Source organism: Homo sapiens, chromosome 17 (genome assembly GCF_000001405.40).
Source record: "Homo sapiens chromosome 17, GRCh38.p14 Primary Assembly".
NCBI lineage: Eukaryota > Metazoa > Chordata > Mammalia > Primates > Hominidae > Homo > Homo sapiens.
Genome location: NC_000017.11, coordinates 57,734,250 through 57,751,297, shown reverse-complemented (window position 1 = coordinate 57,751,297; position 17,048 = coordinate 57,734,250). Strand labels below are relative to the sequence as shown.

The window sequence follows — 17,048 nt, the reverse complement described above, 5'->3', positions numbered from 1 at the left end:
GTCCTTCCCAGCATGCTCTCAGGGTCATCGTGCTGGCCTGGGGACCTGGTGTGGCTTTCTTTCAAGCAGATGTTCTTGCCCTGGCTAAGTTCTGTGCTTAGTGGAGTGGCTGCTGGTGCATATTAGACATCACCACTCCCCCAGACTGCTTCGGAGGGCCTTCCTGGCACAGTCCTAGCCCTCCCAGGCTGGAGAAGGGCCAGCTTGTGTCTAAGGCCTGCTCCTGTGTCTTCAGCTCCACTCCCACCAGGATGTTTTACATATTTTAATTAAAGTGCCGCCCTGGGCTGGCAGGGCCTCTGATGGATGGCTCCAATCCGAGTTGCGGAGTTGCAGAGTGTGAAACATGGCATCCAGCGATGCGCTCCTCCTGCTCTCGAGGAAGCTTTGGCTCCCACCTCTGGGGGTGGTCCGCTCGGTTCCAGGAGGAGCTGCGAACCGGCAGGCAGTGGCAGGTGGTAGGCACATTGGCTGGGCTCAGGGATGGGAGGAGAGTGAAGGTAGGACAGCGCCGTGGATGGTTTCCGAGGACCAGCTGGCTGGTGGACTGCGGATGAGTCCGATTCTTGCAGACGCACGGCCCTGTGGACACTCCTTAGCAGTGTCAGATTATGACAAACGGCGTGGGTAAAAGTTGCTGCGTGGCAGCTGCCGCATCTCAGAGGGAAGCAGGTATTTTTAGCACCGCGGCTCGGGGCTCTGGTGCTGGGTTAATTAATCATAGTGAACAGCACCACGTTTTGTTCTTGACCCTGGTCCCCATCCCCCATCCCAGCCTTGTCCCCATTCCCCTGACTGGAATACCAGCTGCAGAGGTGGAAACCGCGCACAGCTGGAGTAGCCCTGGAGAGCCCTCGTAACACTGGGGATACCACCCCTGCCTCCCCCAGCTAGGTTGCCACATGGTCCGGCCCCTCTGACCTCCTCCCCCTACTTCCCATTGCCACCAGCCACATAGGCCTCCTCTGGGCTCTTCGAGCCCCTTCCTGCCCCAGGCCTTTCCACTTGCACTTCCTTCCTGAATGTTATCACCAGGTCTCCTCCTCCTTCCTGTCTTGCCCCAGATGCTGCCCACCCCCTAACCCCCACAAAGGCCCTCCCTGAGCCCACTCCTACCCGAAAGTCTATCACCTTCCACTGCTTATTTCCTTCAGAGATTTAGCACCAGCCTAAATCATCTTATTTGTTGATTGCTTACTTTACTGGTCTCCTTCCATCAAAATGCTGCCTGCTTGAGAGCAGTTTTTTCTGTCCTGCTTGTTCTCTTGAATTTCAGTTGCCTGGCTCAGTGTACACAGGGTAGGTACTCGATGATTATCACTGAGTAAGTGGATGGATGGTTGAATGGATGGATGAATGGAGAAGTGGAAGCCTGGCTGGATGGATAGATGGATGGAAGGCTGGCTGGATAGCTGGATAGATGGGTGGATGGATGGATGAACGAATGGATGGGCGGAAGGCTGGCTGGCTGAATAGATGGATAGATGGATGGAAGGCTGGCTGGATAGCTGGACAGATGGGTAGATGAATGGAATAATGGATGGATGGATGAATGAATGGAAGGATGGATGGAAGACATTTTATGAGGACATCTGAGAAGACACCGGTTGTATCACAGTATCCTTGCCCAGGCCATAGGAGGCACCGGGTCAGGAGATTCTGGGAAAAGAGTGGCTAAATAGGGCCAACAGCTGTCCTCTCTCCTTTAGAAATATCCAATCACATGTTCTTTGGGGTTTGGACAGATTGCTCTGAGTTCTGTTTTTTTTTTTTTTTTTTTTTAATAATTTTTTCTTCTTGGGGATGGGGAGAGATAGACCAGTTTTTTTTGTTGTTTTTTTTTTTGAGACGGAGTCTTGCTCTCTCTCCGCTTACTGCAAGCTCCACCTCCCAGGTTCACGCCATTCTCCTGCCTCAGCCTTCCAAGTAGCTTGGGACTACAGGTGCCTGCCACCATGCCCGGCTAATTTTATGTAGTTTTAGTAGAGACAGGGTTTCACCATGTTAGCCAGGATGGTCTTGATCTCCCGACCTCGTGATCCACCCGCCTTGGCCTCCCAGAGTGCTGAGATTACAGGCGTGAGCCACCGTGCCTGGCTTAGATAGACCAGTTTTAAGAGACTCCCAGAAGACTGCTTCCCCACTCTGCCTGTGAGCTCACATTAGTAGTTCATTTGGGAGGATTTTGCATGGTTCTTTCACCGAGTCTTTTCCTTAGATCTAATTACTCTTTGTGGAAGACACAGTTGGTTGCCCGTCCTCTCCCTTTCTTGCTTGAGAACAGAACCCCAATTTGGTTCTGGTACTGGGATCCTTGTGCTTCAGGGAGGCCTGACCCAGCCCCAGTCCCAGGAAGGGGCCTGTGATCGGCCTCAGCCAACTGTGGGAGCCCCACCCCTCTAGTCAGTGATGTAGTTAGAAGGGGCCCAAGGATGTGGTTCTAACTCACGGGATGTGAGGAGCTTCTAGCTTCTGAGCATTTTCCTCACTTTAAAGAAGGTACATGAAGAAGGGGTGCCTCTGTGTCATGTCCCTTTTCCCAATCCCCAAAAGGACCAAGGCTTATTTCATTTGCAGAGACAGATGAAGGCATAGGATGGGGTGGGGTCCTGGGGAAACCATCTGGCTTTTGCTGGCAAGCCATGGGCAGGGTCCCGCAGGAATGGTGCTCAGACCCAGTGATGCCCAACCTGGGGAACTATTAGAACATGCCCACTACTGACTCCCATCCCATTCAGGTTTACTCTGATTCTCAAGGGTGGTACTGGGATCTCTGTGGGGCTGAGGTGCCCCTCTTGTCCCCCCAACATCCTGAGACATGAGGAGGCTGTAATCACTGAAATAGGCCAGGTACAGAGAAACCCATCTGACAGTGGGTTCAAGGCCTGGAGATGTTAGAACTCCTTTTTCTTGAGACCTTTAAGGGGACAAAGTGATTGGCTTTCTTAGTTTCCTCGTATATATGGAAGGAAATTTTGTGAGAAAGGCATAGTCCTTGATTATGAAATTTCTAGGAGGATAACATTCAGGAGAACATGCACATTAAGTTGCCCTGCTGAGGATGCTGCCCTGAAGGCTTGGGAGGCCACCAAGCCTGGGGTCTTCTGCTGACAGCATTCACTTGCTTCTAGTCTCTGCTGTGCTCTTGTGGAAATACCGTCCTCCCCTCTGGTTCTGAGAAGCAAACTTCAACGTCATTAAAAAGCACCATGGAAATGGAAAAAGTGCTATTCCATGTGACTTTTACTACTTTTCTTTTGCAGATCTGGTTATGACTTCCACCATTCCCCGTGGGAGGCACAGACAAAGACTCAGAAAATAAGAGAAAGAGAGAGAGAGAAAGAAAGAGAGAGAGAGAGAAACAGAAAAGCACTCAGAGAATGTTAGAGACTGCCTTTTTGCTGATTCAAAAAATATTTATTGAGAATCTATTATGTGTCCAACATGCACACACTCCCTTAATTAAATATACCACAAGACCACATGCTGTTTTTATCAGCTCCTCAATCCCCATCTAGCTCTTAGGTAGTGGAATCAAGAAGTTGCTGTTTTTGCTAAGACCAGTAGGTGTCATCATGTCAGCGGGAAAGCCAGGGTGCCCGGGATTTGATAGCCACCTGTAAAAATAAGTTCCATTTCATCTAGTTCTCTGAGTGCCAGTATGTGCAGGGCACCAGGCAGGATGCTTGAAGGTACACAGGGTGAGAAATCCATGATCCCTGGCCTCATGGAGTTCACTGTGCCATCAGGGACCTGGAAGGACAAAGTCCTAAGTCACGAGAAGAGGGAGATTTTAAGTGCCTCAGGAGAGGTTTAATTGAAGGACTGTGTGGATTCTTCAAACATCAGAGACGTCAGAACAGCTGAATCCTGCCTTCTCACATTATGGTGGAAGGAATAGGTTCCGAGAGGGAAGGTGATTGACCTAGGGTCACACAGCAATTCCAGTCTCCAGATCTCCTGACTCCTGGAAAAATGCTTTTTCCACCATTCTGTCTCAATAATCAAAGTTGCTTTTTTCATCTTGCCATTTAAAATTTCACCTTATTGCTTGACACTTTATTATGCTAAAAACCCCACAAAATCCCCCAGAAAATGCCACCTTAGTTTAGCCATGAACCTCCCTGCAAAATGCCCTCTCTGATGCCTACTACAAGGCACCCTAGATAGGTTAATCTGCATCTCGGAGGAGGCAGCTGCCCTCATCACGGTCCCTGTGGTGCGAGAGTCAGCTTGCAGAGGCTCATGAGAGCTGATTTTGTGCATCTCTTCCCAGTGACATCATGTTGGTAGCTTGAAACTGGCCACGGTGGGAGTATTTACACCATGGAAATTGGCAACAGCTATCAAAATAATTCGGAGTTTTATTCACTTTTCCCCATAGAACTGCACACCACTGAATTAGTATTCCTACTTATAAAAAAGATTGAGGCTCAGGGAGATGGGGTAATCTGCCAAAGATAGGTAGATTATAAGTAGAGCTGGGACTCTAACCCAGGTGGTTTGATGCTAGAGTGCTTGGCAATGGTAGATTGAACAGGACTTAGAGCCACTTTGACATGGAAGGGTCTAGGTTGATCCTAAGTTTCTTAGTCTATTGTGTGCTGCTATAGTAAAATACCCGATGCTGGGTAATTTATAAAGAACAGAAATGTATTTCCTTACAGTTCTGGAGGCTAGGAAGTCCAAAATCAAAATGCTGGCATCTGGCAAGGGCCTTCTTGCTGTGTCATTCCACAGCAGAAGACATCACATAGTAGAAGGGCAAAGAGAGGGTGAGAGAGAGACATAAAGGGGCTGAACTTATCCACTTATAAGGAACCTGCTCCCAAGATAACAGTGTTAATCCATTTATCTCTTAAAGGGTAGCCTAATCATCTGTTAAAGGTCCTTCCTCATAATCCTGTTACAATGGTAATTAAATTGCAACATGAGTTTGGGAGGGGACAAATATTAGCATCACAGCACCAGTTGTCTCATGAGGGCTCTGGTGTGTGTGCTGTTCTGGGTTGCTCTCATTAATCTGACAGCAACACTGGAACAGGAACTGGTTTGGGTAAAGAGATCACCAATTCAGCTTTGGATGGCTTGAATTGGAGGCCCATTGTGGGGGAGACGTTTAGATTTGGAGACCAGGAGAGAAGTCTAGGCAAGAGACTGAGATGTGCAAGATGAAGGTTTGTTCCTGACTAAACCAAATGTAGATTAGCTAGAAGTATTTTCCTTTGTTCTAATTATCAGGTAAAAAGTACAAGATTTACCTTTCTATGTGTTGTTTCTCATATTTGTTAACATTCAGGTATGTTGGAAGACCATGCACTCACTTGTTCCCTGATCCTAGTGTGTAGTGAGCACTTAGTATTTATTGAATAAATATGACTAACCCATTTTTACCTTGCACCTGCTGAATCAGCCATTGCTGTGGACCATACATCAAAATCTAAGTACATTTTTCGCAATTTCTAAGATTTTATAGAATTCTGACATCATTATAGGAGTATGGACTTGGAATAAGAGATTACTTTTTAGCATTTTAGAGCTACAAGTGGGATTAGGTATCATCTCTTACAATGTCTTTGTTTTACTAGTGAGGTACTAAAGCCCAGAGACCAGTCCAAGACCATGCAGGTCCCTTGCCAGTGTGGGAGACCACCCAGTCCTGGCAGCCAGTGAGCCTGGCCTGGCCTGCCTTGCTCTGGCCAGTTTACTTCCCTGCTCTGGGACTTGGTTTGTTCCTTAGGTTAAAGAAGAACTTGAGTTCTGGTTCTAGAAGGGTGATGAGTTAAGGATCCACATCTCAGGAGGGCGACTTGGTCAGATAAACAGACAAAGCTCTAGGTAACCAACCAAGGAAGCTACAATATGCAAATGAATGGATTGTGGCTTTCTTTCTGGTTGGCTGAAGGGGCCCTGATGTCACAATTCTAGGGTTTCTCCACTCCGAATGATCGTGTCTCTAGCCAAAAATATTTATTGACCTGGTTGGTCTCTTGGCTTCCTCTCTTTGTCCAACGTAGAAGAGACAATGGAACCCCTCTACCAGGCTGGGTCCATTCTCATGACGGTGAATACCCTACAGGGGAAAAAAATGATAGAGAGTGGCCTCCAGTCTGGAGACTTTTCCCTGTCCCAGTCATGGCCCTCCTGCCTCCCACCACCCGCTGACTTGGAGATCCTGCAGCAGAAGGTGGCCGGGGTGCAACGGGAACTGGAGGACTTTAAGAAAGAGGCATTGAAGTCCATTCATTACCTTGAAGACGCCTTCTGCGAGATGAATGGAGCCCTGGTGCAACAGGAGGAGCAGGCGGCTCGCGTGAGGCAGCGGCTAAGGGAGGAGGAGGACCGTGGCATCGTGCGCAACAAGGTTCTCACCTTCCTGTTGCCGCGCGAGAAACAGCTCCGGGAGCACTGCAAGCGGCTGGAGGACCTGCTGCTGGACAGGGGACGTGACGCCCTGCGTGCCACCAAGAAGAGCCAGGCTGACTGAACCTCGTGGGTGGCACTAGCCAAGCACCAAGTTGAAGATTTTTTTTAACGGAAGGAGAAACCCCAAGTCCCTACCCCCTTGCTTTCCCTTCCTCATTTCCATTGCTTTCCTTCTGCCTAAATAACACCTTGCTGAGAGGCAAAAAGACTTCAATATTTTTTTTGGTGAAATTCCATTTATCCAGCATTCTAAAGGAAGGAGGCACCCCAGTACTGAGTCAGGCCCCTGTAACTTTCACTTGAACTGTTTTCCTGTTTGTAATGGTACTATTGCTCAATGTATACCTCTTTATTTGTATAGTATATTCTTAAACTGATTGTGTTGAACATTCACCTTTTTTTTTTTGAATGATTTGAGGCTTTCATGATTTGAGACTTAACACCTGGTCAACTGATACCACATCACGTAACACATGATCTCCCCAGAGGGGTCGGACTGCTTGCCCGTGCACTAACACTACCCCAGATTGCTCTGTTTTTAGTATTCTAACCCTTGTCTGTATGGTCTTTCTGTCTGCCTCTACTCTTAGACTGTCACATCTCACTTTTCTTTGCTGCCTCTTTCTACCTCTACTTCCTTTCCATTTAGACTGCAGACTGGCCAATCGGAATGACAGAGCTTATTGGGACTGTGTGGGTGGAACTCGCTGAGCTTTAGCAACCGATAATGCAACACCTCTGAGATGGCACTAGGAAGTGGGGAAACTGATTTCTGTGTTCGATCCATGGAGCAGGAATTATTGTCACAGTGCCTGGCCATTTATCAGGCAACACACACATACCATCCCACTTACTTCCATAGGCACCTTGGAGGTGAGTGTTGATTTTCCATGGTTCACACTGGGAGACTGGCCGCAGGAAGGCAAGTCCAGTACCCAAGGTCTGCACACTAGTAAGTGGCAGGGCCATGGTTTAAGTCCAGGTCAGCTGTGCTCATTTGCATCCTGCTGCATCCTTCTCTGCTCCCCAGTTTTGGAACCACTTCAGGCTGTTCATGGACGTGTTCTTCTGGAAGGCTGAGGTTGTCACATGGGTGACTTGGGAGTTCATTAGCTGACACTATACCTTTTATTTCCAATTAGTCTTCTACTTCATCAATTCATATATCTTCTCTCTGGCTACCCAAATGCTGCCATGCAGCAGGGATTCTCCTCTAAACAGCAGAAGAGACGTGCCTGGAGACCAGAGCCAGTGCCTCAACAGAAAGTCAAGTCTGTCTTTCCAGTTCTGGGCTTACAGCAGATTCCATATCCTCTGATCTTCTGTGGCAGTCTCATTCTCCCTCTTCCTTCTGTCATAGAATCTCTCCAAATAAGATTTAAACATCTGGAACTCCCAAGCTGCGCTTCCCAAAAGGACCCCGTGACCCATGGTTAATTGTAATACCCATCCAATAGCCATCTACCACGAAGGGCTGCAACCCTACTTTAACTTTAGACAGTTTTTTTGTTGTCATTGTTTTTTGTTAGTTTGAGTCAGAGTCTCTCTCTGTCACTCAGCCTGGAGCGCTGGAGTGCAATGGTGTGATCTTGGCTCTCTGCAACCTCCGCCTCCCGGGTTCAAGCAATTCTCCTGTCTCAGCCTCCGGAGTAGCTGGGACTACAGGCTCATGCCACCATGCCCAGCTAATTTTTGTATTTTTAGTAGAGACGGGGTTTCACCATATTGGTCAGGCTGGTCTCAAACTCTTGACCTCAGGTGATCACCTGCCTCAGCCTCCCAAAGTACTGGGATTACAGGAATGAGCCACTGCCCCCAGCTGCTTTTTTTGTTCTTTTGAAGAGAGTCTTACTCTGTTGCCCAGGCTGGAGTGCAGTGGTGCAATCTCAGTTCACTGCAACCCGGCTTTCAAGTGATTCTCCTGCATCAGCCTCCCGAGTAGCTGGGATTACAGGTGCGTACCACCACAACTGGCTAATTTTTGTATTTTTAGTAGAGATGGGGTTTCACTATGTTGGCCAGGCTGGTCTCAAACTTGACCTCAAGTGATCCTCCCGCCTTGGCCTCCCAGAGTGCTAGGATTACAGGCATGAGCCACTGTGCCTGGCCTTTAGGCAGTTTCTTTGGAAGATTTAGCTTAAGTAATAATAATGGTAATACTAACAATATTATTACTAATATAAGAGCTTAGTGTTATTAAGAATATGATATAGTCCAGGCACCATGGTTGGCCCTTTGAAGGTAAGTACTGCTATGGTTTGAATGTCCCCTCCGAAACCCATGTTGAATCTTTTTTTTTTTTTTTTTTAGAGGGAGTCTCGCTTTGTCACCCAGGATGGAGTGCACTGGCATGATCTGTGCTCACTGCAGCCTCTGCCTACCAGGTTCAAGCGATTCTCCTGTCTCAGCTTCCCAACTAGCTGGAATTACAGGTGCCCACCACCACACCCAACTAATTTTTGTATTTTTAGTAGAGACAGGGTTTTGCCATTTTGGCCAGGCTTGTCTCGAACTCCTGACCTCAGGTGATCCACCCGCCTCGGCCTCCCAAAGTGCTGGGATTGCAGGCGTTAGCCACAGTGCCCGGCCTCTCATGTTGAAATTTAATTCCAAATGTAACAGTGTTGGGAGGTGGGGCCTTTATGTGGTAATAGATTAATGCTATTATCATAGGAGCTTGGTTAGTTATCTCAGGAGTAGGCTCCTCATAAAGGGATGAGTTTGGCCCCATCAGATTTCCATTGACATTGACATTTCTTTGGCCATACCTGGGTTGCTTGCCCGCCCTAAACCAATTATGAAAAGAGGAAAGCAATTGCCACAACTCTGCTCCTGGGCCTGGACACTTCAGTTACCCAATATCTAAAGAAAATCAAGGTTTCATTAGTGAGGCTGGTAGTAATCAACCCCAGCTGCCACATCCTCAGTCTTATTTTTTCTATATCATGGATACTGAGGGCCGGAAGAAGACAGCTCTGGGAGATGGCACTGACTGGGCAGTGTCATGCAGTGTGGGTGGCTGTCGCATGGCTGCAGGGAGCATGGAGTTAGGTCTGAGAATTGGGGAGATGGGCTGGGTCTAGGTGCAGCTACACCTCAGTGCTGTGGGTACAGACCCACTGCCTTCAGTTGCTTCACCTTCATCTGCCCGATACCCAGCCTTCACCCTTGAAGTCAGAGGCTCGAGATGACCCAAAGGGTGCCAGGGAGACTTTGCGACCCCTTGGTCATTAAAACAGGCAGCCACTCTTAGAGATGCAATCAGTTAACACCGTCCAGGGTAACCAACTTGTTCAGTTTAATTGGGATTGTTCTAGTGTTAAAACTGAAAGTCCCTCAGGCCAAGATCTCTCTCAGTCCTGGGAAAGCAAGGATGGTTGGTCACCTGCACTAGAAATAATACACACCGTGGGGTGATCCAGGTGAGGCTGTGGGTGGGGCAAATCACAGGAACTCAAGGCAGGAAACAAGGATGGTAGAGGCCATACATGCCAGGTCAGTGCATCTCTGCTGTCATTTTTAGCCAGAGGAGGCTGGTCTGTTCATTCTGCAGCTGGAAGAGCTTGTCTTTGTGTCCATTTCTCCTCCCCACTCTCAGATCCTTGCCTTCCACCTCAATCTGGCAAGAAAATTTGAGAGCGAGGCCTTTTCCGAGCAACCTTTGAGATCCTTCTGGGGACCCCAGGGATTCCTCATTAGGCCACAACTCACAGCTGCAACCTTAGTCCTGGAGGACAGAGGAAACCTATGGTGGATTAAAGAGCCAAGGAGAGGCTGGGTGTGGTGTCTTATGCCTGTAATCCCAGTGTTTTGGAAGGCCAAGGCGAGAAGATTGCTGGAGGCCAGGAGTTCGAGGCCAACGTGGGCAACATAGTGAGACCCTCACTCTACAAAAATAAAAAAATTAGCTGAGTGTGGCGGTGCATGTCTGTAGTCCTAGCTACTTGGGAGGCTGAGGCAGGAGGATCACTTGAGTCCAGGAGTTCAAAGCTAGAGCAAGCTGTGATCATGCCACTGCACTCCAGCCTGGCCAACAGAGGAAGACCTTGTCTCAAAAAATAAAATAATAAAATAAAATAAAATAAAATAAAGCCAAGAGGAGACAATCTGGTTTGTAGCTTTGGAAGCTGGAGTTCCTCATTTCAACTCTTCTGCTCCCAACTGTGAACAATAAAGTTAAGCAGCCCAACTGCTCACTTTCCCTGAAATTCTAAGACAAATAGAAGACAAAAATAACAGATGGTTTTCTCCATGCTAATAGCCGTTGGTTCTCAAAGGTTTTCTATAAGCTGCAAGGCTCTGCTTGCTCCCCCTCAGCATCCACAGCAATCAGAGGGCTGCTGAGATCCTAGACATATGGCTCCATCTTATGAAAACCACTTGCAGACAAGGGAGTCCTCCCTGGGACCCCAAGTCCTGTGTCTACTGCAAGCTGGGATGCTGGGGTGAGCAGCAAGGTAGCTGAGATGCAGGAAAGCAAACGTGTGTGGCTAGGGGAGGGAACTCACCCAGTTGGCACAACTTCAGCCTTGTCTATTTAATTGATACTTAGTGCTGGGAAGAAGAGAGCGCTCAGGGAGGAGCATGGCTAGGCAGAGTTGTGCAGTGTGGCTGGGAAGCAAGGGTTTGGATTTGGGCATTGGCTTCATTCCACATGCAGAGCTTTGCCTCTTGATCTGACCCAATCCATTTAGTAATCCGCCCAGTGCTAAGAGCAGTGAGCCTTGGGCATGTTTTTTTTTGACACCAGGTGTCAGTCTAGAGTGACTTTCCCAGGGTCCAGATGTATTGGGTGTGGCTCATGCAGCAGATGTGGCAAGTCTTCCAGAGTAGAGGTGAGAAGGCAAAGAGGTACACAAGGGTTTGTCCATCTCCTCTCCTATTCTCCTCTTTTTGGCTGCTTCAGAAGTGAATGTGGCTCACAATGAATGCCCAGCAAGGAGTAGCTGCTCAGGGAACATATGTTGAATAGAACAGGAGGTGGTGGCATCATCTGTGCCTGTTTGTGTGAGTGGTGTTTATCAATATGACCTTTGAGAGCAGCTGAGTGGAAATCTCTGGGCAAAGGCAGCATTTTGTGGCAGAGCACTGAGCCTGTGGTCAGAAATTCCAAGTACAGATTCTAACTCTGCAGCTTCTTAGGTTTCTATTTAAGATGTGATCCTTTAACTAACAAACATCTCTGTCACACCAAGGCCTCTGTTTTCCCACTTGCAAATTGGGATTTGTGGGGCCAACTTCCTAGGCTTGTTTAAGAGGTAATTGAGATAAGGCATGTACAACAGTGCTGAAAGGAAATATATTAAATTATAAGAGATTGCAATCTTCTATTCCTAGTCATCTAAGAGAGCCAGCCCAAGTTTTAGACTTTTTTGATGCAGAACTAAAGAGGGGAAGCTAAGGGTCTTGTTTCAGAAAGGGCTGAGATTTATTCATGGGAAAGAAAAAATAGACACAACTAGAAGGAAACAAGGAGATGGAGAAACGTAAGAAAGAAAACCTGGCAGGCTTAGATTTTCAGAGAGAAGTCTTTTCAGTGCGTAGTTGAGAATGAGTCCTGAGAATGAGGTTGGACAGCAGAAGTATAGAAGAGATGAGGGGAGGCCAATGGCTTAGGGGAAGGAAGGCATTAAGAAGTGATGTGTATAGGAGCTAGAATTATAAAATCTTAGAAGAAAGCATGGGAGCAAATCTTAGATATGACACAAAAGGAACAAGCAACTAAAGAAAAAATAGATAAATGGGACTTCATCAAGATTAAAAACTTTTGTTCTGCAAATGGTACCATTAAGAAAGTGAAAAAGGCAACCCACAGAACGGAAGAAGATATTTACAAATCATTTATCTGGCAAGAGACTTGTATCCTAAAAAAAGAGAAAGAACTTTTTTACAACTTAATAAAAAGATAACTCAACTGAAAAGCTAGCAAAGGATCTGAATAGACATTTCTCCCAAGAAAATAGACAAATGATCAACAAGCACGCAAAAAGATACTCAGTATCCTTAGACACTAGTGAAATGTAAGTCAAAACCACAATGCAATACCATTTTACTCCTACTAATATGGCTACTATCAAAAGACTAGACAATAACAAGTGTTGGTGATGATACAGAGAAATGGGAACCCATTGCTGATGGGAATGTAAAATGGTGCAGACATCTTGGAAAACAGTTGGGCAGTTTCTCAACATGATAAACACAGAGTTACCCTATGACCCAGCAATTCCACTCGTAGGTATATACCCAATGCAAATAATAACACATCTCCACATAAAAATTGGTATGTGAGTGTTCATGGTAGCATCATTCATAATAGCCTAAAAGTGAAAACAACTCAAATATCCATCAACTGATGAATAGACAAAATGTGGTATGTTCATACAATGGAATGTTATTTGGCAATAAAAAGAACAACATATTGGCCAGGTGTGGTAGTTCACACCTGTAATCCCAGCACTTTGGGAGGCCGAGGCAGGTGGATCACCTGAGGCCGGGAGTTTGAGACCAGCCTGAGCAACATGGCGAAACCCCATCCCTACTAAAAATAGAAAAAAATTAGTTGAGCATGGTGGTGCACACCTGTAATCCCAACTGCTTGGGAGGCTGAGGCCCAAGAATCACTTGAACCGTGGAGGTGGAGGTTGCAGTGAGCCGAGATGGCACCACTTCACTCCAGCCTGGGCGACAGAGCAAGATTCTGTTTCAAGAAACAAAAACAAAACTGTTTATAAAATAAAGTGTAAATTCAAATATACAGTGAGAAAAATAAATGATGTTATGATTTATCATTCAAATCCCATTTAATATTGAGTGATACAAATATAGACTGCGATTATTTTAAATTATTTTTAGTTTATGGACATTCTGAAGCCACATGGGCTCCAGAAACTATCTAGGTTATAGATGTAAAAGGTGCCTGAATTAGAGACTGGGCCATAGAAGGCATGTCATAAATGATAAATGGATCAGAACTGGAGATCTAGAACTTGATTGACCTTCACTATCTCCAAGAGGTCTCAGGAGCTTGGCAGGGTGTGCAAGACATTCTTTTGTGCCCAAATGTGTGCTTGACTCCCCTTCATCAGGGAGATAAGGGATAGAACTGACTGCCACAGGGAGATCAAACCCCAAGCCCCTCCAGGGCTGGAAGAGATGTCTGATGGAGCAAACAGCAGCATCATGACCAGGTAGCCAGGTAGCCCCTGGTGCTGGTGACAGCTGTCACGTGACCAGGAGGTGGTCAAAAGGTCTTAAACTTTTCAGATGTGTCCCTCAAAAACCTTCACTCTAAGAGTGAGATTTCTTTGTTGACCTCTTGCCCATCTCAACCCTTTCCTTTCGGATTCCTTTCAATAGCAGAAAAGGGTAGTGGATAGACAAACTGGCCTAGCTGAAGTACCAACTCTGCTACTCGGTTTCTGCATGGCACAGGGATGTTACTCTACCCCTCACAGTGTTGTGTGATAGGACTTTCTGCAATGACGAAAATGTTCTGTAATTCTGCACTGTCAATTTAGTCGCCACCAGGCATATGTGGCTATTGAGCATTTGAAATGTAGCTAGTGGGATTTAGAAACTAAATTTTAAGTTTTATTTCATTTTAGTTGGCCATATGTGGTCAGCGGCTACAAACTTGGAGCCTCAATTTCCCCATATCCCTCATGGGGATAAAGACACTACGGGCCTCACAGGATACTTAGGTGAATTAACAGAGGGAATGCAGGTAGGGTAGGATAATTTGCTAAGACTTGTAATTATAATTCAGTTCCCTAACCCAAGAAGATAGGCTTTGTTCCTGGCCTTGGGGATTCTTGTTTGCTAGACCTCAAACAGATGTTGCCAGAGACCCAGAAGGGAATTTCGGCATTTGTGCTTGGAAGCCTAGATCATGGAGTGAAATTAAGCTGGATCAACCCAGAGTGTAGGGTGATGGAAGCAGGTGATTCTGTGTGCAAGAGGTGAAGGAGGCCAGATCCAAAGGCAAAGCTGGATCAGAACCTCAAATCTTCCAATCCACTCTGTGTGCTGAGCTGGCTGTGTGGGGCATGAGAGTCCTTCTCCCCAGGCTGGAGCAGATAAAATCTCCTTCTCTCCTCTCTCTCTCTCTCTTTCTCTTTGGAGTCTATTAAGTGCAAACAGGAGACAGCCAGCGCGTTGTCAATCAAGCCAAAGCTCACTGGGGCTGAGGTTTAGAACCAGGGTCCCTGTTCCTGGGCCAGAATCAGGACTTGAGGGAGGGGTTGCAGAGTCTGAAGGTTGGAGCTTGGTCACGATAGCCCCAGAAACAGAGCTCGCTGGGAGCAAGCAGAAGAGGTTTCTGGGGTTCCCCACCATGGGCCAACAGGCCTTGGGGCGGCAGATGGCGAGCCTGGCCAGCACAGAGTGGACACCTTGACTTTCAGAAAACCAGCCTCTTGGGAAAGGTTTTCAGAGAGCTTCCAATAGTCTTGGGCAAGAGGGCTACCTGTGTGAAAGCAGAAGGCAGGCCCTGTCCCTGAGACTCTGACAGTGGAACGCCGCTGGTTCTGGTGCCCTTGGCTTGTCTGTCACTATCGTCAATGGTTATTGCTTTGGGAGGGGTATGGCCCCATTTTTGAGTTTGACAGTTCTGGCGGAGTCAAACATGTCTCTACTAAATAAATTAGATCTCTCCAGGGCAGATCAATATTTAATGTGGGCCTTAAAAAGACCGACTCAGGAAATGAGTTTAAAAGTGGAGAATTTGCCTTAGGTAGCAATTTCTAAAATACAGTGGTATCAGGGGACAGATTATTCAAACCCAAGCCATGGATAATATAAAAACAGTTGAACAAGCCAAGTTCTTCTTCCAGTCCATCGGTGACTCTGAATCCCCTGGTTTTCCGTGTGCTACTCGCAAAGGATTAGTTCAAGTAAAAAGACACCTTAGAGAGGATCTACCCCAGGGATGGCAAAGGCCACATGCACTGCCTGGAGCCCTCCACAGGTGGCAGGCATCAGTCATCGATCCCAACACTCTTCCTGCTTGAGTTGGAGGCAGATTCATATTTTTTTTCTCAACATCTCGCTCCCAGGTAGCCACTATCTATACTGGTCACAGAGTGGCACTTGAGGTGACATTTATTTCTCATATTCATCAAGTCCAAATTTCTCATTTAGCAGAGGAGACGCTCAAGGTTACATAGTGATTAGTGGCTGATACAGGACCAGTGCCCTGTCTTCTTGTTTCTAAAATAGACTTTTTCCCCACAGGAATGTATTAGAGGTTAGGGTTCCATCAGAGATATTTTACTGACCCCTCTGTGAGCAACACAGGGCTTTCCCTGAGCAACATTTGTCTTTTTTTCTAGAGATAAAATTAGAGCATTTCAGGGCTAGAAAGCAACTTAGAGATCTTCTCCTTCTACTCTTTCTATCATGGGGAAATGAAAACTCAGAGAGGTCAAGTGATTTGCTTAGAAACACATAACAGGTGGTTCTTTCCTCTGCAGCAGCAATGTGCATTTCAGTCCTGGAGTTCTCATTTCAAGGCCTTAGGCAAAGTACACACATTTTCGGACTGCCGTTTTCTGGTCAGAATCTCAGGAACTAAGACTTGCAAAAGGTGTGTGTTTTAAGAAGTGCATAGCATCTACCGTTGATATATTTTGATGTTTACAATACACTTCCAGATTTACTTTCTAATTACATTTTGTTTGGTTGGTACAAAAAATTGCTTTGTATTCCCTAAACAAATAGTAGCTGGGAATCAAGATTTGTGCTGGGCCACAGAGGGAGGAGTTGGTTTTGTGCAGAAATCTTTTTAATGATTTGTGTGTGTGTGTGTGTGTGTGTGTGTTTGTGTGTGTATGCACGTGTGAGTGCAAAATGACAGTTTCTAAGACAAGGAAGACATTTTTTCTTTCTGGGGTGGAGGGGCAGGTAGGTGGCGTTTCAGTTCTAGGTTTCAGACCACTTATGTGGCCTCTATTTCCTCATCTATAAAATGGCAATAATGATACCTGTCCTCTTAACCTCAGAGGCAGGTTGTAAAGGTTGAATGGAATAATGCCTGTGAAGGAGTTTTAAAAAGTAAGAGATTGTTGAGACTGGGCACGGTGGCTCATGCCTGTAATCCCAGCACTTTGGAAGGCTGAGGCAGTGGATCACCTGAGGTCAGGAGTTTGAGAGCAGCCTGACCCACATGGAGAAACCCTGTCTTTACTAAAAATACAAAAATTAGCTGGGCGTGGTGGCACGCACGTGTAATCCCAGCTACTCAGGAGGCTAAAGGAGGAGAATTGCTTGAATCCAAGAGGCGGAGGTTGCAGTGAGCCGAGATCGTGCCATTGCACTCCAGCCAGGGTGACAGAGCGAGACTCTGTCTCAAAAAGAAAGAAAGAAAGAAAGAAAAGTAAGGGGTTATTGAGACAGGCAGAGAGGATGGAGCCAGTAGATTGTAGAGGGGGCAGCTCTCAGGAGTGGAGTAGTGGGGGGTGGAGGAGAAGTAGATGTTGCCTTGACACTGGGATGCTGGCAAGAATTTCCATGCCCTCATTACATGAGGTGCTCCTGTCAGATTTAAACCAAGCCCTCCTTTACTGCTTGAGACGCTGCGATATTTTAGGAATGGCAGCCCAAAGACATTCTGTGTTTTTAAAAGG

At 46.7% G+C, this 17,048-nt stretch overlaps 1 protein-coding gene across 1 annotated transcript, besides 3 other annotated features; it reads left to right on the top strand.

The window, feature by feature from the left end:
* Window positions 1-500: an enhancer, noted in NCBI's record as "H3K4me1 hESC enhancer chr17:55828159-55828658 (GRCh37/hg19 assembly coordinates)". NCBI's record gives its function as "activates a minimal SCP1, AML or CMV promoter by ChIP-STARR-seq in naive H9 embryonic stem cells {active_cell/tissue: H9 hESC(naive)}" and the evidence as "EXISTENCE:reporter gene assay evidence [ECO:0000049][PMID:30033119]".
* CCDC182 (coiled-coil domain containing 182) lies at window positions 5,999-6,803 on the top strand. Its single transcript, NM_001282544.2, has one exon. It carries the CDS (start codon window positions 6,026-6,028, stop codon window positions 6,485-6,487), a length of 462 nt encoding a protein of 153 aa, NP_001269473.1. The 5' UTR covers window positions 5,999-6,025; the 3' UTR covers window positions 6,488-6,803.
* Window positions 14,489-14,667: a silencer, noted in NCBI's record as "fragment chr17:55813992-55814170 (GRCh37/hg19 assembly coordinates)". NCBI's record gives its function as "represses an EF-1alpha promoter that drives an FKBP-Casp9 reporter gene in an ReSE screen in phorbol 12-myristate 13-acetate-treated (for megakaryocytic differentiation) K562 erythroleukemia cells {active_cell/tissue: K562(+PMA)}" and the evidence as "EXISTENCE:reporter gene assay evidence [ECO:0000049][PMID:32094911]".
* Window positions 15,335-15,404: an enhancer, noted in NCBI's record as "active region_12446". NCBI's record gives its function as "activates an Ori minimal core promoter by ATAC-STARR-seq in GM12878 lymphoblastoid cells {active_cell/tissue: GM12878}" and the evidence as "EXISTENCE:reporter gene assay evidence [ECO:0000049][PMID:35858748]".

Bases quoted from the DNA above. Each gene is read 5' to 3' on its own strand.
- CCDC182 (NM_001282544.2), top strand. From the start codon at position 6,026: ATGGAACCCCTCTACCAGGCTGGGTCCATTCTCATGACGGTGAATACC.